The sequence below is a fragment of the Homo sapiens genome, chromosome 12 (assembly GCF_000001405.40).
Source record: "Homo sapiens chromosome 12, GRCh38.p14 Primary Assembly".
NCBI classification, from domain to species: domain Eukaryota; kingdom Metazoa; phylum Chordata; class Mammalia; order Primates; family Hominidae; genus Homo; species Homo sapiens.
Window position 1 is genome coordinate 130,452,044 of NC_000012.12, and position 23,951 is coordinate 130,475,994.

The 23,951-nt window shown below is 53.6% G+C and overlaps 1 protein-coding gene across 35 annotated transcripts in view, besides 5 other annotated features; it reads right to left on the reverse strand.

Moving 5' to 3' along the window:
• RIMBP2 (RIMS binding protein 2) overlaps positions 1–23,951 on the reverse strand; it is a 320,167-nt gene that overhangs the window by 55,911 nt on the left and 240,305 nt on the right. For 33 of the 35 annotated variants that reach the window (NM_001351227.2, NM_001393621.1, XM_047428628.1 and 30 more), the window contains 2 exons: positions 18,650–18,700; positions 4,453–4,657 (listed from right to left, as the gene is read on the reverse strand). In NM_001351227.2, coding sequence (NP_001338156.1) covers positions 4,453–4,657; positions 18,650–18,700 — 256 coding nt within the window. Of the gene's footprint in view, positions 1–4,452; positions 4,658–18,649; positions 18,701–19,706; positions 20,296–23,951 lie in introns of all 35 variants that reach the window. The other 2 variants (NM_001351233.2, NM_015347.5) reach the window with 2 other exon arrangements.
• Positions 1,644–1,808: a silencer, noted in NCBI's record as "fragment chr12:130938232-130938396 (GRCh37/hg19 assembly coordinates)". NCBI's record gives its function as "represses an EF-1alpha promoter that drives an FKBP-Casp9 reporter gene in an ReSE screen in HepG2 liver carcinoma cells {active_cell/tissue: HepG2}" and the evidence as "EXISTENCE:reporter gene assay evidence [ECO:0000049][PMID:32094911]".
• Positions 11,107–11,606: an enhancer, noted in NCBI's record as "H3K4me1 hESC enhancer chr12:130947695-130948194 (GRCh37/hg19 assembly coordinates)". NCBI's record gives its function as "activates a minimal SCP1, AML or CMV promoter by ChIP-STARR-seq in primed H9 embryonic stem cells {active_cell/tissue: H9 hESC(primed)}" and the evidence as "EXISTENCE:reporter gene assay evidence [ECO:0000049][PMID:30033119]".
• Positions 17,567–18,068: an enhancer, noted in NCBI's record as "H3K27ac hESC enhancer chr12:130954155-130954656 (GRCh37/hg19 assembly coordinates)". NCBI's record gives its function as "activates a minimal SCP1, AML or CMV promoter by ChIP-STARR-seq in naive H9 embryonic stem cells {active_cell/tissue: H9 hESC(naive)}" and the evidence as "EXISTENCE:reporter gene assay evidence [ECO:0000049][PMID:30033119]".
• Positions 18,069–18,568: an enhancer, noted in NCBI's record as "H3K27ac hESC enhancer chr12:130954657-130955156 (GRCh37/hg19 assembly coordinates)". NCBI's record gives its function as "activates a minimal SCP1, AML or CMV promoter by ChIP-STARR-seq in naive H9 embryonic stem cells {active_cell/tissue: H9 hESC(naive)}" and the evidence as "EXISTENCE:reporter gene assay evidence [ECO:0000049][PMID:30033119]".
• Positions 19,633–20,133: an enhancer, noted in NCBI's record as "H3K4me1 hESC enhancer chr12:130956221-130956721 (GRCh37/hg19 assembly coordinates)". NCBI's record gives its function as "activates a minimal SCP1, AML or CMV promoter by ChIP-STARR-seq in primed H9 embryonic stem cells {active_cell/tissue: H9 hESC(primed)}" and the evidence as "EXISTENCE:reporter gene assay evidence [ECO:0000049][PMID:30033119]".

Consider the following 23,951-nt stretch of genomic DNA (forward strand, 5'->3'; position numbering starts at 1 on the left):
GCATTGAGCAACGTGACTAACGCTGGCCTGGGTGTCAGACGACAGCGCAGCACTTTAACCAGGATCCGGGTGTGAAACATGACGCGGCTGCTTCCTTCCCAAGCTCTCCGCTGCTGGGAATGATGACACCCCCTCCCTGGGGTCCTCGGTCCCTCTGTAGCTGTCACATCATGACAGTCACCTCACTGATGAATATGAATTGCTGAGTCCAAATCAGTAAGTATAAAATGATTTAAAAAACCATGAGGAATGTTCCACAACGGCTGCCCTAGGAGCCGCCCCTAGCAGGCCCCACAACTCCAGGCTGGAGTGAACAGCAGGACAGCGCCACCATGGCAGGGAATTGGAGCTGGGGCAGCCCTGCCCTGGGGTCCCCTGTGAGAACATCTGATCCTGGAGGGCAGGACCTTGTTGTATTCACTATAACATGGCTCGGCGTGTAGCAGGTGCAAAGTGAATATCGAACGATTCAGCTTCCAGAAGCCTCGGAAACCCAGCCGACAGCAGAGCCTGCTGCAGGCTACTCCCCTTCCAACTGGCATTGCTGCCTCTTCTCTGCTCCCAGCCACGAGAGTCACCTGGGCCAGTGAACCTTGAGGGGAGTGGCAGGCTCCACTTGTGGGCAAAAGCCACTTTTCCTCCCCACACAGTGGCCAGGGAACTTTCCAGAGAGGAAACACTGTCCTCCAGCGTTCCGAGACCTGGGGGGCCGCGTGTGACTGCAGCAGAACTTGGCCCTTCCTGCCTGACACCGCGCCACAGTGAACAGCAGGGGACGGCACAGCTGATGAAGGTGATATGAATACAGTAGTCACCTTGTATTCACAATTTATCCAAACCCAACTCTCTAGGGAAAAATAACGTAATCCCCGTGGCAGCTTTTACCTGCCATTGTGCCTGAGAAGACAAGGTGAGATTAGAAACAAAACGTGCAGTGCCTTCAAATGGGGCTGGTTCCCACGGGCCCCTCGAGATGCAAACACCGCGCTCTCTCATGATGGTAATGCTTCAAAATACGTATGTTCTAGAAAAATATAGGTCAAAAAAATGTTGACTCAAAAAACCCAGCTCCCATACTGGAAGGAAAACTGGCTGCGCCAGGGATAGGAGAGGCCACGCCTCTCCCCAACACACTCCTTCCTAGGAGGTTGCCGGGGACAGTGTGGCCCATGAGCAACGCCTGCCCTCACATACTGACTGCAGCGCCTCACTCTGTGTCAGAGGTGCCTCCCCATACAGGGCGCGAGTCCCTTTGTGGCCTGCCCCAGCCACAGGCTGGAGGAGCCCTGGGTGAAAGTGCAGGTGAGTGACAGCACATCCACCCGGGACCCCTTCTCTGTCTTGCGGCCAGCCCTGCACCTTCCACCATCCTCTCTCTCAGGTCAGTGTGGGAAGATCTGCGGCAGATGAACAGGTAAAAAATACAGATTTGAACACAATGGGATGTTATCCGGCCTCAGGAAAGGAGGACACCTGGCCCTTTGTGACAACACGATGCACCTGGAGGACTCTCTGCTACGTGGAGTAACCCAGGCACAGAGATACAAACATGGCACGGACGGCCCCCACTCACGTGGGAAACCTCAACAAGGCCAACTCGCAGAAGCAGAGAACAGAACAGTGGTTTCCAGGGGCCGGGCCGGGGGCTGTTGATCGAAGGGCACAAGATGAATACTCTTTGGGGATCTCCTACACATAAACGTGAATGCAGCTGAAATGCTGGGTTGTAGGCCAAGGCGGTGGCTCACACCTGTAATCCCAGCACTTTGGGAGACCGAGGCAGGTAGATCACCTGAGTTCAGGAGTTTAAGACCAGCCTGAACAACATGGTGAAACCCCATCTCTACTAAAAATACAAAAATTAGCCAGGCGCGGCGGTGCACACCTGTAATCCCAGCTACCTGGGAGGCTGAGGCAGGAGAATCGCTTGAACCTGGGAGGCGGGGCTTGTACTGAGCCGAGATCACACCATTGCACTCCAGCCTGGGCGACAGAGCGAGACTCCAATGCAAAAAACAAAACACAAAAAACAAAATGCTGGATTATAGACTTGAAGTTTACAAAGGAGGCAGATCTTAAGGGTTTTCACCATGAAAAGAAAAGGTAACCACGTGAGGATGTGGATAGGAGGTGGTATGTTAATTAGCTTGGCTGTGGTGATTATTTCACAATTGATTTATGTTACATCGGATCAAGTTGTATACCTTAAATATGTATGATTTCTAATTATCCACTATACCTCAAAGTTGGAAAAAATGTACAAAAATAAGTAAACACATTCAGAGAGTGGGGGAAGAAAGAATAAAACAAGAGGAGACCCTAAGCAGAGGCCTGGAAGAGGGGCCTGCGCTGTCTGCAGGGAGGAGTGTCCTGGTGGGATCGGGGTGCTGTGGGGCAGCTCTCTGGAGGCACTGGTGTCCACCGCCGTCATAAGCGACATGCACTGTGAGGGGAGTGCCAGGGCAATGCCAGGGGATATGGGCATGGGCCATGCCAGGCGACCCCTGGTGGGTGAGGAAACTGTGATTAAATGAACTGGATTCATTAGGAGGGTGCGTCTTCCAGACAGTTGTTAAACAGAAGCCGTGGTGCAAACCTTCTTCTCTGCCAGGCGGCCCTGGCTTAGTAAAGGCATGGTACCACTTTGTTTTTTTGGTTTTATGCAGTGTGCATTTTCCACAGTGGTTAATCAGATTCCTTTTTCCATGCTGGCCAATCCCTGTTCCCGCCTCCCTGTCCCGGGAGCTTTGCAGCGGGTTCCACATTCACATGCTGTGGGCCTCGGACTCACCGGGCAGGCCTGGGACTGCTGTTTACAGAAGGGCCAGCTTGCAAGGTGGGTCACTGGCTAGTGTCTGGAACTCAGCTTCTGAAATGTCCCCTACACTGGATGGAAACATCCCCTGACTGATAAAGGCAGGCCTAGCTTGTGCACACCACACAGCTCACACTGAACACCTGCTTTCCTTCCAGGAGTCTGGAGCTTCGGTGGGCACGGTGCCCGCGCAAGCAGCCCCCAGGAAAAGCTCTGGACCCAAGTCTCAGTGGGTTTCCCAGAGCAGAAGCCGTGCGTTTCTTGTCGCACGGAGTGGGGCTCTGTGTGGCCCTTCACGGGAGGGAGAGAGACAGCATGGAGACACGTGCATTCTGTTTTCCCCTGGGAAGAACGGAAACCGTCTTGTTTTCCTCCACTCTTCAGGTGTCACAGCTCAAATGTGGTTTCTTGGCAGCCGCCTTCCAGGACCATCTAGAAGAGCCCAAGTCACTGTCCACCTCATCACCTGGTCTTCATGCAGCGTCTGGATCAGAGGCTCCCCACGTATCGTCTGCCCGCCAGCGGGAGCTCCGCACGGTGCCCTGTCTGTCTCTCAGCGTTGCAACCTAGGCAGGGCATGCAGCCTGGGTGTCGTGAGTGCCTGGAGATGAGCGGCAGAGCGCTCGGACCCTGGTCCCTGCCTGCTGGCCTCCCACAGCCACGACCACTTACCCCACCCGGCATTCTCTCTGATGCGTGGACCAAAAGGGAAGGGCATGGGAAGGCGTGGGACGAGCGGAGAGGCAGGAGAATGTTTTTTAGCAAGACACAAGTGGCATCTCCTTATTTTAATGATAAAAAGCACCCAAGGTACTTATATATTCTGATAAGAACTAGGGGAAATTTGCAAATTATCTTTTTTACAGAATTCCAAAGTGAGGTTCAGACGCTCATCTCCCCTAATTTTTTTTTAAACCAACTTCTTAAACAGGTGGGCAGACCTGGCCATGAAACCTGTCTAACCTCTGCATCCCACTTAACCTTCAGCCAGGACGTAGCACCTCCACCGAGGTCTGATTAAAGGACATCTGTGATCGCTCTGCCTGCGACCAAGACTAAATCCCCCAGCACACACACAGGGGGCTTCTCCCCACCCGGCCTCTAAGCAGGACTGTGATGGGCGAGGGCTCATGTTCACCACTGCCTTTGCTAGAACAGAGGTTCCAAGCACGTCCCAACATCACCAACAAGTTACTGAGATGAGAAGGAAGGAAAAACAACGAACACAGAGAAATGAGCTTCACAGAGCTTTGGAGTACCCAGCCAAGAAATCCTTGTGGAGTCGTTGCCAGTGCAGACTCTGCAGCCAGACTCCTGGGTTCAAATCCCAGACTGAGCCTCCATCAGCATCTGTGTGACCCACACTAGTGCTTTGGTTTTTCTCGCCTGTAAAATGGGCCCATTTTACAGGTGAGAAAATGTGTGGGTCCCACATTTGTGGATGCCCGTGAGGTGCTGAGTGTACCGTGTGCCCCACGGCTGTGAGCAGCCCTGTTCTCATCCTTCCCATTGCAGTGGCGGGTCCCTGTACCCTCTGCCAGGTGTCACCAAACCGATTTCACCTGTGCACACCCTCGCAGGCAGCCAACGGCCATTCTCTCCCCACCACAGCCAAGGCGGAAGGTCCAGGCGCTTACCTTTGCCGAGGGAGGTGGCTAGGCCATTCATGAACTGTGGGAAAGGCTTGCTGGGGGCCGTGGAGATGTCCAGGGGGGCCACCGCGCTGCCACCCAGCAGGTCAATCTTGCCAGCGTGCTGCCGGAACTTCTCCAGGTCCCGGGACAGCAGGTTGAACTGCTCACTTTGAGTCCGGCATTTCTCTTCCAGCTCTCGAACCTTGGACTGCACGGCAGAAGCAGGACAGGGGGTCAGCGGTGGCATTTGGTGGTGGAAATGTGTGTGCGCCTGTTCACATGTGTTGTACGTGTGCACATGTGCACTGTGTGCACGTGTGTACACACGTGTTGTGTCTGTGAAAATGCATGTGTGGTTGAGTGTGTGCATATGAGCATGTATCCTGTGTGCACGTGTCTGTGTGTGACATGTGCAGCAGGGGCCGCCTCCCACTTTCACGGGAGAGCAGTGCCTGATAAACCCAGCTTCTCCTGCCACCTGGCTACTGGCCAATGTGAGAAACCACAGGTGCCAAGAAATCCTGCAAACACTCAGCTCCCAGCCAACCGTAGATTGTTCTGGGCTGTGCGTGCAGCCCGGGCACTTTGCAGTTGGCAGGCTTTGCTAGAGCTGTTTGGAACTTGGAGTATGAGGCTGTGATGCGGCCCAGACTCAGGGGAGCAGCTCAGGTGCTGTCCCATGGATGCAAGGATGCAATTCTTCTCATCCAGGGCGCCCGCCCCCTCGGACTGTAGAACCCTTAAGAGCACCACTTGGAGCAATAAGGACTCTCTATCTGCTATGTTCAGTTAGCAACACTGCTGCATTTGCAGACAACACGAAGCCACGTCGGGAGCCCTGGGGAAGGCAAGCGTCTCCCCCAGGGACACGCACAGGAAAGGGGTAGCCCAGCAAACTCCTTCCTCGGGTCAGGACAGGCCTGGGCTGTGTCCAGTCTCGGGACATCTCTGACCCTTGTGGGCTTCCTCCCAGGTCAGAGGTGCATGGGCAAAGCCCCGCTCCCTGCTCCCCTGGGACTTGAGCTCTACATAAGACATGGCCTCCTGACATAGGTTTCTGGCACCCATCACAGAAGGTGCAGGACAGAGGGGTCTACAGAGGACCCACTCTACCTTCTCACCCCGCGTTCCTTTCTCCACTGTGCTGACCGCCCCCCGGCACTGCAGTAGCTCCTGGGCTATTCGTTTCTTGTCGGTGTCCACGGCTACACTCTCGGCCCCAAGCCTCTGCTTTCTGGCTCAAGGACACACCTTCGATACTCTGCATGGACTCAGCACCCAGCAGGTGCTCAAAGAGCGTTTGCTGAATCAGTGAAAAAGGCGAGCCCTGAGCTGTGGGCACCGTGCTCCTCGTGGGGATGGCTTGTCAGGTCTGCATGCAAAGCCGCTTTCTTGCCACTCCTTACTTTAGGATGGCCGGGAACATCCCATTTATGGGGTTATTCATGTCATCTGTGGGGCTGACGACACTGACGTTTCCCCCAGTGAAATGTCAGCCCCATGAGGGCAGGGCTTTGTCTGCCTGTTTCCTGCTGCGTCCCGGACCTGAGCAAAGGGCTCAGCAACAGCCCCCCACCTCCCCCTCCCCTCCTCCGCCCCTCCTCTTCATCCATCCTCTCCCCCACTATCCCTCCACAGGCAGCAGGCTTCTCAGCTCCTTAGTCCAGAATGAAGCACTATTTATGGCTGAGATCATGGATTTCTAAAATAAACCTAACAAATCCAAAGCCTATAATTAATTTCTTTGATTCATTAAAAGAAATCAGCAGTATTCTTCTTTAAAAAGCTGAATGGGCTTGGCCAAGCCGGCTGTGTCTACCAAGATAGGCATAGAGCTAAAAACCCAGGGGCTCTGGGGCCTGACATGGAAAGCATCGGAGGGAACCCAAGCCCAGGGACAGCTCCGACCCCAAATGTGGGGTCTGCAGGTGGGATGACGACTTGGCTTCGCAGGGCTTGCAGGGGCTCTGACTCTGCTGGTTCAGCCCTTAAGACAGAGTGACGGGCCCTGCAGGGCAGCCAGGGTCCTGGCCAGGGAACAGCTGCCACTGCCCGCTGCAGGCAAGGCCGGACCCCGGAAGGCCCTGAGCTCAACTGTGTGAGCCAACGAACCCCCAGGCACCCATGGGGCACTCGCGGAGCCTTCCCAGGGTGTGGAGAAACAGGAGACATTTAATAGTCATGCATTCATTCTAACATGTGACAGGGAACATGTAACTGGCACACCCATTCCCTAATGTCGTGTCTATGAAAATGACCTAACTAAAATAGGCCAGGCACGGTGGCTCACGCCTGCAATCCCAGCACTTTGAGAGGCCGAGGTGGGCGGATCACCTGAGCTCAGGAGTTCGAGACCAGCCTGGCCAACATGGTGAAACTCAGTCTCTACTAAAAATACAAAATTAGCCGGGCAGGGAGACACGCGCCTGTAGTCCCAGCTATTTGGGAGGCTGAGGCAGGAGAATCACTTGAACCCGGGAGGCAGAGGTTGTAGTGAGCTGAGATCGAGCCTCTGCACTCCAGCCTGGGCAACAAGAGTGACACTCTGTCTCAAAAAAAAAAAAAAACAAAAAAAAAGTGAATAGACTTTTCATACAAAAATCTTGAAATGATAAAATTATAGCAATAAAGAACAGATCAGCGGTTGTCAGGGTTTTGGGTTAGGGGAGGGTGTGACGAGGGACGGTGCCATGAGGGAGTTTCTCTGGGTGACAGAGCCGTCTGTACAGCTGATGGTGGTGGTGGTGGTGGTTACGAGAATCTGTATATACCACCAAATGCCATACAGCTATATACGAAAAAAAAAAAAGAGTGGATATAAACACTCGAGAAAGCAAGTAAATTCCCCAGCATGCTACAGTGCTGCTCCCACGCCAGCTTCCCGGCTTTGAGAACACACTCTGGCTACAGAGACACCACCACCGGGAAGCAGGAAGAGGGGCCACGGGAACTCCCCCTGCTGTCTTTGTAAATTCCCGTGACCCTAAAATTACTTCAAAATAAAGTTTTCAGAAATGAAGAGATTTTAAACAATAGGAACTAAGAATACAGGTGGCATACAGAGATGGTGAAGATAATGAAAGGTACCACCCCATCAAGGGGGCTAAGGGCGGCTGAGGTCACAGGAGCCTAAAGCGGGTTCTGCATCTGATACACACCTGCCAGCAGCCTGCAGGCTGCGGGCTGCCTGCTTTTGTTTGCAGGAGGACAGGTCGTCGCAATACAGAGGGAACAGGGCAGGCTGTCTGCTCTCACATGGTTCCATGGGACTCCCAGAAATGACGGGGGGTGGGGGGCCAAGGACGAGGGTGAGCCGAGCAGCAGCTGCATACTCTCTGTGGTTTGGTCCCCAGGGCCTGGCAGGGCCACTCCCACGCCTGTGTCCTATGGGGGCCATAGTGGCGCTTCCCAAGGTCAGCCCCTTGCCCTGGCCCATCAGTCCATCCTCAACCGTTAGTTCACGACTTGGCACAGGGTGGACATTTAACAGATATTTGATGGATCACAATAAGCTGCGGGTAAACTAATCTACGCACAGGAACTGTGGAGTACCCTTCAGTTAGAGATGAACCAGGTCACCTCTGTCCAAGGGAGACAGAAAACGGGTGGAGAAGCAGCCACCAGGTGGCTCACCAAGGAACCCTGAGACCCCTGCACAGGGGCCGCTGTGTCATCACAGGCCTGGGTGTTCATCAGGGCCGGGTTCCCTCTCCCACGGGGAACCCTCAGCTCTAGGTATCCTGTGAGTCTGTGCTCCAGGCCCCACTCTGTGCACAGAGGACGCAGGCCCCTCGGTAGGCTGGAAGTGCCGTCAGCAGCAGCAAAGCGGCGCTCGCAGGAGCAGCCGTAATCATGGTGGCAGTATTGGTATTGATGAGCAGTACTAGTATCAGTAGTACTGGTATTTTCATCACCTGCAGTAGTAGAAGTCTTGCTTTGGTATTAGAGCATTAACAGCAGTGGTAGCAATAGCAGTGTTTTTTGTAGGAATAGCATTGGTATGAGTAGTGGTATAGTAACAGTGCTGTTGGTATTAGTATTAATAGCAGCCTAGTATTAGCAGCAGCAGCAGCAGCAATATTGGTATTATTTGTACTAGTAGCAACAGTATCATTATTACTACCTGCAAGCGTACTGGCGTTATCCTTCACAGTCACAGTTTGGTGTTAGTATTAGTAGCAGCAGCAGATGCAATATTAGCAGCAGCAACAGCAGGGATATTGGTGTTCTTAGAGTGGCAGCCAGCCACTGTCCTTGCTTCCCCCGCAGATTCCCCAGGGCCTGGCGCCGGGGACATCCACCGCGTTCTGAGGGGGTGTCGGGAGCAGGAGGCCCACGGGCAGCAGTGACGGGGGAGAGCCAGCTCGCCTTGAGCCCCGTCCCACAGTCCCCTCACCCAACTGGGCTCACTGCACAGGAGATTCCATGCCCTCCTGTGACACAAAGTCACTCCCTTCTTGAAGCCTGAGAAACGCCCCCAGGCTCCCAGCTGTCACCTCCTCCCGGAGGGTGTTTCTCCTCCAAGGGGCCACCAGATAGGGCCAGTGGTTCGCCATCCACAAGGGACCCATCCGCACGACCCAGCTACTTCCTGCCAGGCTCCACCCGTGACACTAGGGGTCACATTTCCACATGAGATGTGGATGGGAGGATGCCCTAGCCACACTGCCCTGCTTCTCTCGAGGCGGCTGCAGAGAGCCTGGCCCAGGGGTTGTAGGGACGCTGGCTCTGCCCAGCCCATTCTTGCCAACTGCTCCTTACACCTCGGGGGGTCCCGGAGTGGACTTGAGTGCTACAGCAAATCACCGTGTGGACACAGTCCTGCACGCAGACTGGCAGGGGTGCCAGCAGGGGCAGGGGCAGGGTAGACCTGCAGGAACTCAGGATGGGGTGGTGAGCAGGGCAACCAGCTCTGTCCAAAGGGGCCGGTGCCTCGGCCCGGGTGCAGCCCACCAAAGACAAAGCTAAAGCTTCTGGTTTCCCAGGAGCAGCAGGGCATTGTCCCCTCCACATCTCATGTTGAAAAGCTAAAGCTTCTGGTTTCCCAGGAGCAGCAGGGCGTCGTCCCCTCCACATCTCATGTTGAAATGTGACCTCCAGTGTTGGAGGCGGGGCCTGGCGGGAGGTGTCTGGGTCCTGGGGGTGGATCCCTCATGAATAGCTTGGCGCTGTCCTTGCCATAATGAGCAGGCTAAGTTCACACAAGGTCTGCTTGTTGAAAAGAGCCTGGCACCTCCCATACCCTCCTGCTCTCAGCACACGACACGCCTGATCCCCCTTTGCCTTCTGCCATGATTGTAAGTTTCCCAAGGCCTCCCCAGAAGCCAGCACACCCCCTGTACAGCCTACAGGACCATCAGCCAGTGACTCCTTCATAAATCACCTTCATAAACCTTCATAAATGGCCCAGCCTCAGGCATTCCTTTATAGCAAGAACGGCCTGACACACCCAGGGAATTTTCAATTCACCGGAAGTCTCACATTTTAAACCCTGCTGAGTATTTCAAGGCCCATCAGCAGCCTGGGCTGACAGGCATGTCTAGAGATGGCTGCAGGCTGTGGCTGCTGGCCGTGGTGCTGCTCTGCACGACAGCATGGTGACACTCCCGCATCAGCAGGTTGGGTGTGTGGGGGGTCAGGTTGGATCAAATGCCCTCATGGCCCTGTAGATGCCCCCGGCTGTACCCACATAAGCCTCCGACACACAGGACGATCCCTCACTTGCTCCTGGGCCTGGGGGGTTCTGGAACTTAGAATTTGTGACCCTCTGCATGCCTACATCCACCTGGGCATTGAACACGCACTTACAGACAAGCTGGGCGATGCATTGCCATAATTGAGGATCCCACCCAGGGGTGGCCAGTGCAGATACCAGGAAGGCCGCGCTGCCGCAAGCCTGGAGACAGCTGCCCCGAGGATGCCTGCCCGGCTGCGTCTCCACCGAGGCCCAAGGCACGCTACTCGGCGTGACCATAAGCATAAGGGATGGGAGAAACGGGCATTCGTTGGTTAAAGTGAAGATATGTCACCCAGCTCACACATCTTAGCACTGCCTCACCTTTGAACGAGCAGGGTGTGGACTAGTGAGGCCCTGCTCCTGCGGTCTCAGGCACAGTGCTCAGAGCTGGGTCTCTAGCTGGTCCTGTGTGTGGACGCTGACTCGAGGAATCTGGTTGCCCTAGTCCCTGTGCAGTTGACGTGCTTTCCCCGAATGAGCATCATGGGGCCAAAGCGCAAGCACCCTCCTAGCAGGGCAGAGCGCTGGCACCACGTGGAGCTCACAGACCAGGCATGGAATGTACCCTCTCCTGCCTGCTTGTCCACCAGCACGTGCTCCGTAAATGCTTGTCTGATGGGAGAATCTGCTGTGAGACTTGCTTTCCTTGTAACCTACAATGAAGGTGTGGAACAGGGGCACAGCCTCCCCCACCTCAAATTCCTACCAAGGAGAACCTAAGAGTCCTGCCCGCCCACATCCAGCTTGTTTGCACCTTTCCTTTAGGCTCCTCGCCTGAGCACAGCTCCCTGGCGTCTTGGCAGCAGGGAAGGCTCTCGTGACTGCCAGGGGGGTCCCTGCTGGGGCTAAGAGCTTCCAATTGCCTATGGGGAGGAATTGCCAGCAGCAGCCGCTTCCAAAGCATGCTGAGAGAAAAGAGCAACCCGTGGTCCTGCCCCAGGCAGGCGCATTTACACCTCGATATTTATTTCCGGATACAGAGTGCTGTCCTGTCTGGGTTTGGGACTGGGCCTGGGTGTCACCCCGGCTGCAGGGATGCAGGGACACACCCAGCCCCATGGTGCTGCTCCTCCCCATCCCGAGGCCACCTGCTCGGCGCTAGGGTCTGCAGGGCACTGCTCAGAAGCAACTGAGTCCGGACCAGGCAGGAACAGATGGCAGAGTCATCAGGCAAGTCAACTGTAATTGGAACAAACAGCAGAGGCTCGCAAATGTGGATGTGGCTATTTCTAAAGACAAGGGGGAAGCATCCAAAGACACCCCCACAGCTCCCCCAGCTCCTGGCTCAGTGCCCTCCTCTGGCTTCCCGGCCTCTGTGAAGAGGGGTGATAAGCAGGCGCTGTGCTGGCGGCTGGCATCCAAACGGGGTGGTTCTGAGAGCAAGGGGCCAGATGCATAATCACTCCAGAATCATAGGCAGAACCCAGGGACGGTCCAGGCTCACCGGGTCACTTGACTTAGTGTCAGAGGCGTTCAAACCACAGCGACTCCATCTTGAATAGGGGCTGGGAAAGATGAGGCTGAGACCTACTGGGCTGCGTTCCCAGATGGTGAAGGCATTCTAAGTCACAGGATGAGATAGGAGCTCAGCACAAGATACAGGTCTCAAAGACCCTGCTGATAAAACAGGGCGCAGTAAAGGAGCCACCGAGACCCACCAAAACCAAGATGGCAAAGAGAGTGACCGCTGGTTGTCCTCACAGCACATTACACGCTCATTATAATGCATTGGCTGCTAAAAGACACTCCCCTCAGCGCCATGACAGTTTACAGACGCCAAGGCAGCATCAGGAAGTTCCCCTACATGGCTTGAAAAGGGTGGAGCCCTCAGTTCCGGGAACTGCCCACCCTCCCCCGACAAAAACTCATGAACAATCTACCCCTTTTCAGCATATAATCAAGAAACAACCACGAATAGCCCACACTGCTGCTCTGCCTATGGAGTGGCCATCCATTCGTTTCTTCACTTCTCTCACATACTGGCTTTCGCCTTCCTCTACGGACTCACCCAAATTCTTTCTTGCGCAAGATCCAAGAACCCTCTCTTGGGGTCTGGATCGAGGCTGCTTTCCGGTAACATTAGGAAAATTTGGAAACAAATTGTCCCATGTGCTGTCTTTATGTGATTTCATTGATCACTGGCTGAATACCTACTATGTGCCAGGCCCTACGTGATTTCATTGATCACTGGCTGAATACCTGCTATGTGCCAGGCCCTCTGATTTCATAGCTCACTGGCTGAATACCTACTATGTGCCAGGCCCTACGTGATTTCATTGATCACTGGCTGAATACCTACTATGTGGCAGGCCCTGCGTGATTTCATTGCTCACTGGCTGAATACCTACTATGTGCTTGGCCCTGCCTGGGGGAGTCATGCATTGCTGCTGACTCAGAGAGACCTCCCCGGTAAGTTGGTGTTAGGCCATTGCACCAGGGCAGAAGACGAGGCCAAGAGGGACTTGCGGTCACACCCCCAGTGGGCAGTAGGACCCACCCAGGTCTCTCTGGCCTCTGAGTCTCTCTGTCCAGGGCCCACCTAAGCCCAAGCCTGTGCCCTCACTCACCCACACATTCCCCTAACACACTCACTGGCCCAGGGGTCACCCAGCCTCTGAACAAGAGCCAGGCAGGGCTGGTTCCCTGCAGGCCGAGCAGGCCCAGCGCCTGGGACCACAGCCCTTTAGCTTCAGGGGCCCACAGACATGGTTCCATTTTAGTTTCTTTTAAAATCAGAAAAGAAGTGAAAAAGGGTGAGACATACATCATGCATCCAGCCTGTGTAATACTCATCTTTATTCCACAATAGACGCAAAACACAACTGTTAGGATTATTTTATGGAGGAAGGGACGACCCCTAAAGGCAAAGGCCACACAGCCCACAATCATCCACTGCAGGCCTGAGGCCAGACGCCTGCGGGGAGGTAGACCTCAGCCTGCCTGGGAAGCAAGCACGCTGGCCACCCCGAAAGTCTCCCAGGGAGGAAGGGGGGCTGTTCAGGAAAAATAGCCGGGCTCCTCTGAGGCCGAGACGAACCAGGGCTGACATCACCTGAGGTTCAATGCCTCGCTCCAGGAGGAGACACCCAAGGCGCTGTGGAGAGAAGGCGAGGGACTCCCATCAGGGTGCCCTGAAGAACCACCACAGAGCTGCCGACACGCACACGCCAAGCACACAGCACTGGCACAGGCTCCTCATGACGTTCCCCTGACCAGGAAGCCCAGATCCTCATCTCTTAGCCCAGCCACATGGTGACAAGCACACCAGCCCCTAGACTTTTCTCAAAGCACCTGAGAGGGTGTTACCAGGCTGACTTCCTGCCCTTGGGGCCATGCCCTGGCACTTGGGAGCTGTGTGTCCTCGGGTAAGTGGCTCATTGTCTCTGTGCCCCGATTGCCTAATCAGCAAAATGAGGTGACAGAGAACCTCAGGCAGTGGTTTCAGGGGTTAAATATGACTGTATTTCTCAAGAGCCTGGGGTAAAGCGACTTCCTGCATTCCTGCCCTCTGCTACTGCTGCGCACCCAGGGAATACCAGCGGGTGAAGATGGCCCGGCCGGCGCTTCCTCAGTCTGGAGCTGCCAACACTGACTTATGATTCAGCCTCCAGTACGCTCTACAGGCAGGACCAGGGTCGCTGTCCCCTCTGCCCCCACCCAGCACCTGCAGGGAGGTCAGAGTTCTGAGCTGACAGGAAGCTGTGCTGTGCAGCAGCCGTGGAAGGCCTGGACTCCGGAGCCAAACTCCTGAGGCTTGAATGGGATTCTGCTCATGACTATCTGAGACCCTCAGGCAGGTCATTCATTAACCTCCCTGTGTCTTGGTTTCCCCCAGACATGAAGAAGATCAAGTGAAATGGGCATTATCTTGTGGATGTCTCGATGTCTCTCCTATGCACTCTCAGGACACGGCCCAGCACAGGGCACCTGTTTGAGGTGGTGGTGTTGCTCTCATTGTTTTCTTTTGCTTCTCTGTTTTGATAGGACGCTAAGTGCCAAAGGAATTATTTAACTCCTAGCAGCTGGAATCTCCCTGCTCTCAGGTTCTTAGGTTTACAAAAAGAACTGTCTTGACAGGCAAGTTCCTGAAAACCTCTGTTCTGTGTTTAAATCCTGATGCACATCTTTGCTAAACCCCAAAACTAGCTCAGGGTACTCCTGGGACCTCAGGACTTCACGCAGAGCAACCAAGAAAAAAGACACTTCCCCATTGCCACCAAAACCTCCTGGCCATTCATTCTTTAGAGAACAGGGCCCAGAAGTGTCCATGGCACTGGAGTTGTGTATGTGGGGACCGTGAAAGGAAAATAAATCTCAGGACCCCACAATCACCAAGCCAAAGGGAAGCATGAAGCTGGGAACCGTGTCAGCAAACCTGGCTTCCATTGTGCTTCTAAATAAGATAGCCGCAAAGATTAAAAAGCTACCTACCTCCCTCAGAATTTGCACACACAGAGATTCCTTGTGGACCTCAAGATCTTTATCCTAAAACAGTTCCGCTGAAGTTCACCCAGGCAATGTAAATTGATCGTTTATCTTCACAGGGATGGGACAAAGAACTCAGCTCCTAACCCTCTGCTCACCCGAGACAAAGGTATATCTGATTGTTTCTTCTGCCCTATTATTTATGCAAAAATGCAGATTCAATGAGCCAGACTAAGGCACAAATGACAATTCCTCTGCCTCCCTCTCACATGGAAATTGTGTATTCAGTGAAAGGCTCATCAGAGACTCAAAAGAATGCAACCCTTTGTCTCTTCTCTACCTATTGAAACCACCATTGCAAAATGATAACTGAGACAGTGAAAGAGATCTGACCTAACTCCATCGTGCTTCTAACCTCCAAGCTGTCCTTGTTCATTCCTGGGTGTAGGCTGAACGAACTCTGTGAGGAGCTTAGTGTGTAGTTTAGCTTTGAAACAAAGAAGATAACAGCCCTTTCCCAAAACAAGCCTCCTTCCCTGCCTGGAAATAAGACTGCCTTTGCAGGACTAACAAATTGGCCACAAGACTATAAATTATTGTTTAAGAGCCATGCAGCTAGAGGCTGAAAGATTCTGACCCTCCCCAAATTGCTCCTGGAGATAACATCACTATTGTAAAACCTAAGATCAGTTATTGAGATATTTTGTAGACCCTGCCCTCTATGGATGAACTAGCTCATCTGGTCTTGTGGTCCCCACCCAGGAACTGACTCAGTGCAAGAGGACAGCTTCGACCCCCTATGATTTCATCTCCAACCCAGCCAATCAGCACTCCCAACTCACTGGCCCCCTAGCCACCACATTATCCTTAAAAACTCCAGTCTCCAAATTCTCAGGAAGACTGATTGAGTAGTAATAAAACTCTGGTTTCCTGTACAGCCAGCTCTGCATGAATTACTCTTTCTCTATTGCAACATCCCTGTCTTAATAAATTGGCTGTATCTAGGCAACGGGCAAGGTGAACCCACTAGGCGGTTACACTATGACCCAGAAGCCCCCGCTTCAAGTTGTCTCACCTTTCCAGACCGAACCAATGTACATCTTATACTTATTGATGACTCACATCTCTCTAAAATGTATAAAAGCAAGCTGTACCCAGACAGCCTTGGGCACATGTCATCAAGACCTCCCGAGGCTGTGTCACAGGTGCGTCCTTAACATTGGCCATGTCCTGAATTGATTGAGACCCATCTCAGACACCTTTGGTTCTCCGTGTGCTCAGGCATTTTATGTAACATGTGTTCTGGGGTGTATCCTATCTAGGCGCCCTCTATTGTATCTGGCTGAGCATGGAAGCAGGCTGCCCAGTGGAATGTTCTGTCTACAGAAAGTCACGAATATGCCCCATTCTCCAAGGACACAAACACCTAGACATGAAACCCCCACTGCACACCACAGGTGGTTCTTTGATGGGTGAGTGGGTGGGACTTGACAGCCATGGTTTCTTGGTCAACAGCTGCAGTGTTGGGATCAGGTTCCCAAAGTGCTCACCCTGCAAAGGCCAGGGCTTCCCAGGGAACGCACTGCTGAAAATACTCTCTGCTTCCCAGGAGCTGGCCTCACAGGCTCCCTAAACAATGCTTCTCAGACCTCAGTGGCATGAGAAACATCTGGAAGGGTGATTACAGCCAACCTTGGGCCCCTCCCTGAGGGGTTTGGATTCAGCAGGTCCGAGGCCGGGCCTGAGAAGCCACTTTGCTCACAAGCTCCTGGGCGCTGCTGCTGCCCCGGGGAACCCACTTAGAGAACCACTTGTCCAGAAGTGGGAAAGGCCGTTCCTTCCACGAACTCACCATCCAACTCAGAGGCGTGGAAAACTTTCAAAGGCCTGTCTCGGGGGCAACCCAGCCTCTCCTCCACCCCAGGGGAATAGCAAGGGGGTGGTCTTTGACAGAGAGGAGCGCAGGCAGCCTCCCTGGCCTGTGGGAAGGAGCTTGCTGTCCACACAACGCAGAGGCAGAACGGAAGGTTGTGAGGCTCAGGCGTGCAGCTTGAATTCTGATGACCAGTAACCGAATTAACCGAATTCAGGGTTATCCGCTAGGCTCTCTCAACAACTCTGGCCCAAGGATAGAATCAACCCACAATTTCTCTCCTCTGCGGTCATCTGAACCCCAGGACTGCTCTCCCAGCCTGACAGTCACAGCCTTGGCAGGACGGGAAGAGCCATGTGTCTGGGCCTGCGCAGCACCTCAGCGAGCATGGCGTTGCATTTGACGCCCGGATGAGGGGGAGGCCCTGCTTGTGGAGCTCCTCGGAGCAGCTCCTCAGCTCCCCCAGGCTGAGGAACCCCGACCACCCCCCACCTGCGTCAGAAGCTGCAGTTCAGGAAGCAGAGGCAGGTCAGAGCAGGCCCAGGACTCATGGCCGCGTCCACTCACGGGAAAAGCATCGCCAAGCACGCCGGGCAGGGAAGATGCTATTCTCTAGAATACCTGCATGCTGTCCAAGGTGTTCTGCGCGAAGAGCAAAGCAAGACAGTTACAGAAAGACGCCGTAAATAAAAGACACAATTCCCAGCACATCCGAATTGCCTTGTTTTTCGAACCAAAGCACGCTGCGTTGCGACCGTCACCACATTTGAAAGCATGCACCACCAGCAGCACGGGGTGACAGGTGACAGCGGGATCATGGTGGAGCAGTCCCTCAGAGGCGGATTGAAGCCACACAGGGTCATGTCAATGGGCTCCGGGGCAACTGGGGAGAGGCAACTACCTTTTCTGCCAGGAGACGATGCAAATTAAAGTGCGGTGGATAACTCAGGCCAGGGAAAGTGAATTATTTTCCAGGGAGATAAATGGCCATTTGGAGGTCTGTTTCTATTCTCCCAGGTTATATATTTTCCTATTTGCTATTCATCACACTCCTCCCTCCAGATAGTCATTAACTAATGGAGGCTTTCAGAAAATCCATTTTAATATATAGGATGATAATGATGAAACCTTTTCCTGTGGGAGGAATAGACTTTAAAAGGCAACGTAAGAGATGCACATAGCCCGTTTTAAGTGGCTGCTGCTCCCCCAGGGACACAGGACAAGGTCATTCTGAAGAGGGCAGCCTCATCCAATATTGGCCTCACTTAAGGGAACATTACCGGGAGGACGCCACCCCAGGGCAGATCCCCTCCGAGGTAAATCTCTCCTTGAGGGGGTGGTGAATTACACGATCCTTGACTTCGGCAGGTGGGGGCCCCAGCTCACTGTAGCCCAGCCACTGTGCATGATGGATGCAGACAGCAGAGGCCTGAGGGGGACCCCATAGCCCTCCCTGTCTGCCTGGCTACTCACTCCCAAGGAGGCTGGCATTGGACCAGGAGCCAGGGACAGGGGTGGTCACTCCCAATACGCCACTCACGCAGGTGGGACGTAGCCGTTGTTTCCTTCCCAAGGCCCCAGTGGGAAACATCTCTGGGAGGCAGGAGAAGGCCACTCATGTCGTGTTTGCGAGGACCACACCCGGGGAAGTGCCTCAGATGGCGCTGAGGACTCTGATTCCCCAGGCCCTCCTTTCTCTGATCCTACAAATGCCTCCCCAGGATGGGTGTCATACCTTAAAAAGGTACCCCAAGGCAGTTCATCAGAGACCAGGATGGCCTCCGGAAGGTCCACCGGCCTTTACCCCTGGGGAAATTAATTCACAAGCAAGCGAGTGAGCCACGCCCCCTCACTTTCCACCCAAGAGGAGCCACCAGAGGACAGCAGACCACATCTGAGACACACAGTTCTGGGTCTGGATGTGTGGCCAAGGGAAAGCTGCTTAACCTCTCTGTGCCTCAGTTTCCCTGTAAGAACGGACCTGGTCCTGGCACCTGTAGTACTGGTTGCTTGTGAGGATGACATGAGAAGACACATGAATGGCATCTAGTAACTGGTGCACCAGGCGCACTTCATAAACATCATCTATTATTTCTAGCAGGCATCAGGGCAACTCTCCCCAACGTCCCCCACCCCCGGGCAGAAAGCAGGGGCACGCTCCTTACCTCTAGCAGCCGCACTGCGCCTTCATGCTCCTTCTTAGCCTCAACCTGAGCCTTTTTTATGATGAAAAGAGAGAAAAGAGTAAATGTCCAAAGGGGAAAGAAGACAATCGGATCAATGTCTGAATCACTGGGGGTGGGGGATCATTTATTTTTATTCCTCTAATAGAGGAATTAAAATTATTCCTACATTCATTATTTAACTTTTATTTGAGTTTCAGAAATACATGTGCAGGTTTGCTGTACAGATAAATTGCACATCCAGGGGGTCTGGGACACAGATTATTTCTTCACCCAGGTGATAAGCTTAGTAGCAGAAGCATCCCTCCAATGCCTCTGACAGCACCTTCATCTGCCCAAACATCCGACGAACTGCTTTGGAAACAAAACCTAATCCTGCAGACTTGACTCCCAGTCAGCTCTAGGTTCCCTGAGACCTCACCAGGCCCTGGAGGAGGGGCCGGGGCTGGGTCCTGAGCATGCAACAGGCCTTGGCACCTGCAGCCTGTGGCAGGGCCGCCCTCTTCAAAGCACTGGCGGCAAAGCCATCTGGGCCCCACAGAATAACTTCACATGTTTCACTACAGAAATGTCTCGGGATGGCTGCTGCCCAGGCAAAGGGCAGATTCAAGCACATCTGAGATGGAACACTATCATTTCTTGTCCTCACAGGCCTGGAAGTCCCAGCATCAAACACCGTTATTTCTTGTCCTCACAGGCCCGGAAGTCCCAGCATCATCATGATGGTAAGGACCTGTCGTGTTTCAATGGCTTTGATGTTTTGAAGGTCCTTGTAGCCCTCGGCATAGTTCCTTGAGTCTCACTAACTTTTCTGCAGACCTAACGTTTCAAAAGACCCATGGAGGCCCCTCACTCTGCTCCATCTAAGCCAATGCCCGTTGTCCCGTCACAGTCGCCAGGGGCCTGGACGGCTTATTGCTCTGTGCCCCATCTGACCCAGCTAGATGCCCAGCACTTCGGCCACAGGGAATCTGCCCTCCCTTCTGTGAGCGCCATCCCCCCAGATGCTCCTGCTGCTCCTGCTGCAGGGCCTGCCCACCTCCTGGATAGCGGATCCTCTGGGTAACAGGCCTGTTCCTCAGGCCTCTTCCTCCAGCGTCAGGAGCTCCTCTCCTGGGAAGAACCTCTGGACTGGCTGGGGTCTGGACCTCCCCTGTGCCAAGCACAGTCTGAACCCTCAGCGACTGGTGACCTGGGTGGTGTGGGGCCTACGGAGGGCAATGGGCCTCTGCCTGAGAATGCTGCGGGAGAGGGAAGCCCCTTTCTATTGGACTTTGGCTTGGGAGGAGGTGAGGCTGCAGCCACTTTGCCACCAGGAGGGTCAGGGCTGGAGTGGCTGGGGGTCTCCACAGGGAAACCAAGGCTGAAGCTGATCCAGAGGAGGGCAGAGAGCAGCCAAGTCCTGGTGATGTCGGGGAGGCCTTGGATTCTACTGGGTCTGAGGCCAGCAGATTTGAGCCCTGGATCTAGCCATGTCTGAAGCCACATTTTCAGTGATGGGCACAAAAACAATTTCCTGTTTGGGTTTTCTGTCGCTTGAAACCAAGAGTGCTAACGAACGTCATCGTCAACTGTGAAAGCATGGGACACTTCCTAAAGTGCGGACACTGGAGGTTGGTTTTCTGAGGCTGTAATGAGACAGAGAAGAAAAGACGAACCAGGCTCCCGCCTGCAGCACAGTCCACACTGTGCACCCCTCACACTGACATCAGCATCTCCCAAACATTCCCCGTGGAGCAGGAAAATGGGGGTTTTTAAGAAGCATTATTTTCTGACACCAGAGTGCACCTAGCTCTTAAAACGTGGAACACTAATAAAGAATCCATATGCTACGCTGTGACTTACATTTACAATTCTCAGTTTCTAGAGAAATATTTCCTCTAGCTGCCTGGAGAATAATTAGTGATGGACGATTCAACATCATAAATAAGCAAGTGAACATTATCTTAACAGTTTCTACTTCTCATTCTCAAAATTCCGTGCGCTGAAAACAGGGAAGAGCTTGGCTTCCCCAGCCAAGGGGAAATCTGCCATTCCCTGGGCTAAAAATGAAGAGTCGTCTGAGGTTTCTGTAGAGTTCATTCATATGAGTTCCATTCTCACATATTTCCAATGAGAGTTTTAAGAGCTGGGCAAGTGACTGGAACACAGCATGTTAATTACACCATTCTCAAGTTCAGCTCAACCGTCGAAGGCCGAAAACTGTTCCTTTCAAAGCAAAAACCAGCAAGAGCAACAATAAATAGCAAAATAGAAAAAGAGACAAACAAGCAGGGAACATACAGGGATTATATAAATGATGCCACCATTGACTCAGTTGAATCAAAGATAGTTTTCAACTGGCAGGATTGAAAAAAAAGACAAAACAAAAAATATTCCAGCAGGCTGTTAAAACTCAGCCAAGCTGGCAGTACAACTTCGCTTCCAGCTTCAGATGAAAACCAGTGCATTTTTGCAGGTGCAAACTGGGCCATTTGGGCAATCAGAATAGACTGTTGAAATTGGCAGCGCTGAATTCTTACAAAATCCAAGCAACAGCTTAAGCGAGGCTCATTTAGGGGCCAACACAGGGAAAGTGCGACCTTTACGGAGAGTGGTTCCTGCAGAGCAGGGAGACTGGAGCTCCCGACGCTGGAGGAAGAGGCCTGAGGAACAGGCCTGTTACCCAGAGGATCTGCTCTCCGGGAGGTGGGCAGGCCCTGCGGCAGGAGCAGCAGCAGCATCTGGGGGGATGGCGCTCACAGAAGGGAGGGCAGATTCCCTGTGGCCGAAGTGCTGGGCATCTAGCTAGGTTGGATGGGGCACAGAGCAATAGGCCGTCCAGGCCCCCGGCGACTGTGACGGGACAACGGGCATTGGCTTAGATGGAGCAGAGTGAGGGAGGGGCCTCCGTGGGCGTTATGAAACGTTAGCTCTGCAGAAAAGTCAGTGAGACTCAAGGAACTATGCCGAGGGCTACAAGGACCTTCAAAACAGGAGTTCCGCAGAGCTGAGGGCTGATGGACATTTTCTAATACTCCAGGAGCACACAGGATTAGGGCAGACACTGCCTGAAACTAACACAGAGGGTCAGCTATGACCCACCGCAGCCATCCACACACAACTGAGGCCGACAATCTGAGGGCAGCACAGCAAATTCAGTCAAAGCATTAACTATGCATCGGGCGGTGAGCTCAGCTTCTCTTAGTATCACACGTTACATAATAGCCTTAAGACTGAAAGCGGTCATTCTACCAGTAAGAGGAACTGTAGACCGAAGTAAAATCGGTCAAGTCTGCGGATGAATTATAAATACGGAAAAGCCCTTTAGCTCACACCACTGGATTATCATAATTGCCACTTGTCACAAGACAAGGATGTAACCTACACAAGAAACTGAAAGTCTGAAGCAACGGAGCGCAGCCGGACCCCAGGCTGACCATTCACCTGGAGAGGAAGCCTCAGGGTTTCAGAATCGGGTCTCAAGTGGACCACGGGCATGTTAGCCTCAGCCTCCTTATCCGTCACATGGAGAAAACAATGGTGCCTCCGCCCCGCAGGTTACACGAGGGCTGACTATTCATTGATTCCCTCCACAGGCATTTACTGAATGTTAATGAGAATTTATCCTCGGTCATCTTATCTGCGGGATTTTGACCCTACTGCCCCGACTGACGGAACCTCGTCACATCTCCAATTCCTTCTGTGCCCTTGAGCACCTCCGCCCATCCAGGATTTGCTGGGGAGCTCCTAGGTGTCAGGCGATGTCCTACGAGTCCGACGCGCCTTTCACGGAGCTGAAGTGCCAACAGGTGGAGGTGGGCAGTCGGCAAACAGCCACATGAGCGAGCAGGCATGTTTTGGCATCAGTAAATGGGGCGACATGCCCTCTGTCTGGGCATGGAGTGGCGTCTGGTCTGAGGGAGACTCAGTGAGAGAAATGAACCAGTTCTGCAACAACCTGGGGACCAGGCATTGTCGATAAGGGTCCCCAAGAGGGGACTGGCTTTGGCACGGTCCAGGGAGAGGAGGAAGCAGCTGCAGCATGGGGAGCGGGAGGAGTGGCAGAGGTGGCACAGCTCAAAGGAGGCCACGACTGCACTCCGGGTCCCAGCCCGGACACGCTGCACCAGCAGATTTGTGCCCAGAGTCGCTTCTACCATCGTCATGACCATTCACAGCCTGTTCTCACACCGTCCCACTCCTTGCTGTGTTGCTGGGACTTCACTGACATGAGACGCTCCGTAAACGTCTGTTGAGTGAATGGACGCAGGGATTTGTGAATGAGCTCTTGCTCCCGGTCTCCAGGAAGCACGCGTCTCCCGGGAGAGCCTGAGGTTACCAGCAGACAGCGTGGGTCCTGGCTTGGCTGCCTTTTGCCTTTTTAAACTGTGTCTCTGCTCAGGTCCCAGAGACGAGGGCTGCAGCATGAGCTCATTGTCCCTGGATTCCGGGAGGAGAGCCCTGGGCACTTTCATCACTCATTCGTCATTCACCCATTTGTTTATTTCTCCGATTTAACAAATGCTTTCCCTTTCACATGATCTTACGTGCTTCTCCCGACCGCCATGCAGGGCAGGAGGACAGGTGGAGCTGCCTGGGAGAAAGGTGCCTCTGGACAAGGTGCTGGGATGCAGGCCCCTGATATTAGACGCCTGAATGTCCAGCACCCTCTCAAGGGTGGTCAGGTCTGGGGGTGAAGCTGATCCCACCAAGGAATCTCTAAGTACTGCACAATGTGGCACAATCCACCTGTATTTCAGGAAAAATAAACTCCTGCCTCACATTGCACATCAAGAAAAACAACATTATAGGATGGAGGAAGCTGAGGATGAAAGCACAAAGAGGCAGGGAGGAGACCCGCAGACGGTGGGGAGGGGCATTTCCAGGACCTGGACTGAAGGAAGAGGCCAGGGGCTCCAGGCGGGCGTCTCCAAGGGGAAAATGGAATCAGAAGCCCCCCAGAGGACTGAGACTCTCTTGAGAGGAATTTTACAGCTTCAGCAGGGTATTGGGGAACAAAGGAATGATGGGTACACAGAGAAGTAAGACAACAAGCAAACAAAAAAGGCAATTAACTCCAGGGAAAGGAAGAGCTGTACAAAAACGGGAGATGCTGCCGTTTACGGAGCTCAAGGAGTTCAGCAGAAGTGCAGGTGTTGGTGAGGACAGAGGGGAGTTCTGTGTGGGACGTGGCGTCCGAGGCCCCCCAAGCAGTGGTGTCAAGCAGAGGGTGAGTAAAGGAATTGGGGCACAGTGGCATCGTCTGGCTTCCGGGTCTAAACCCGGGAGTTACCACGCAGAG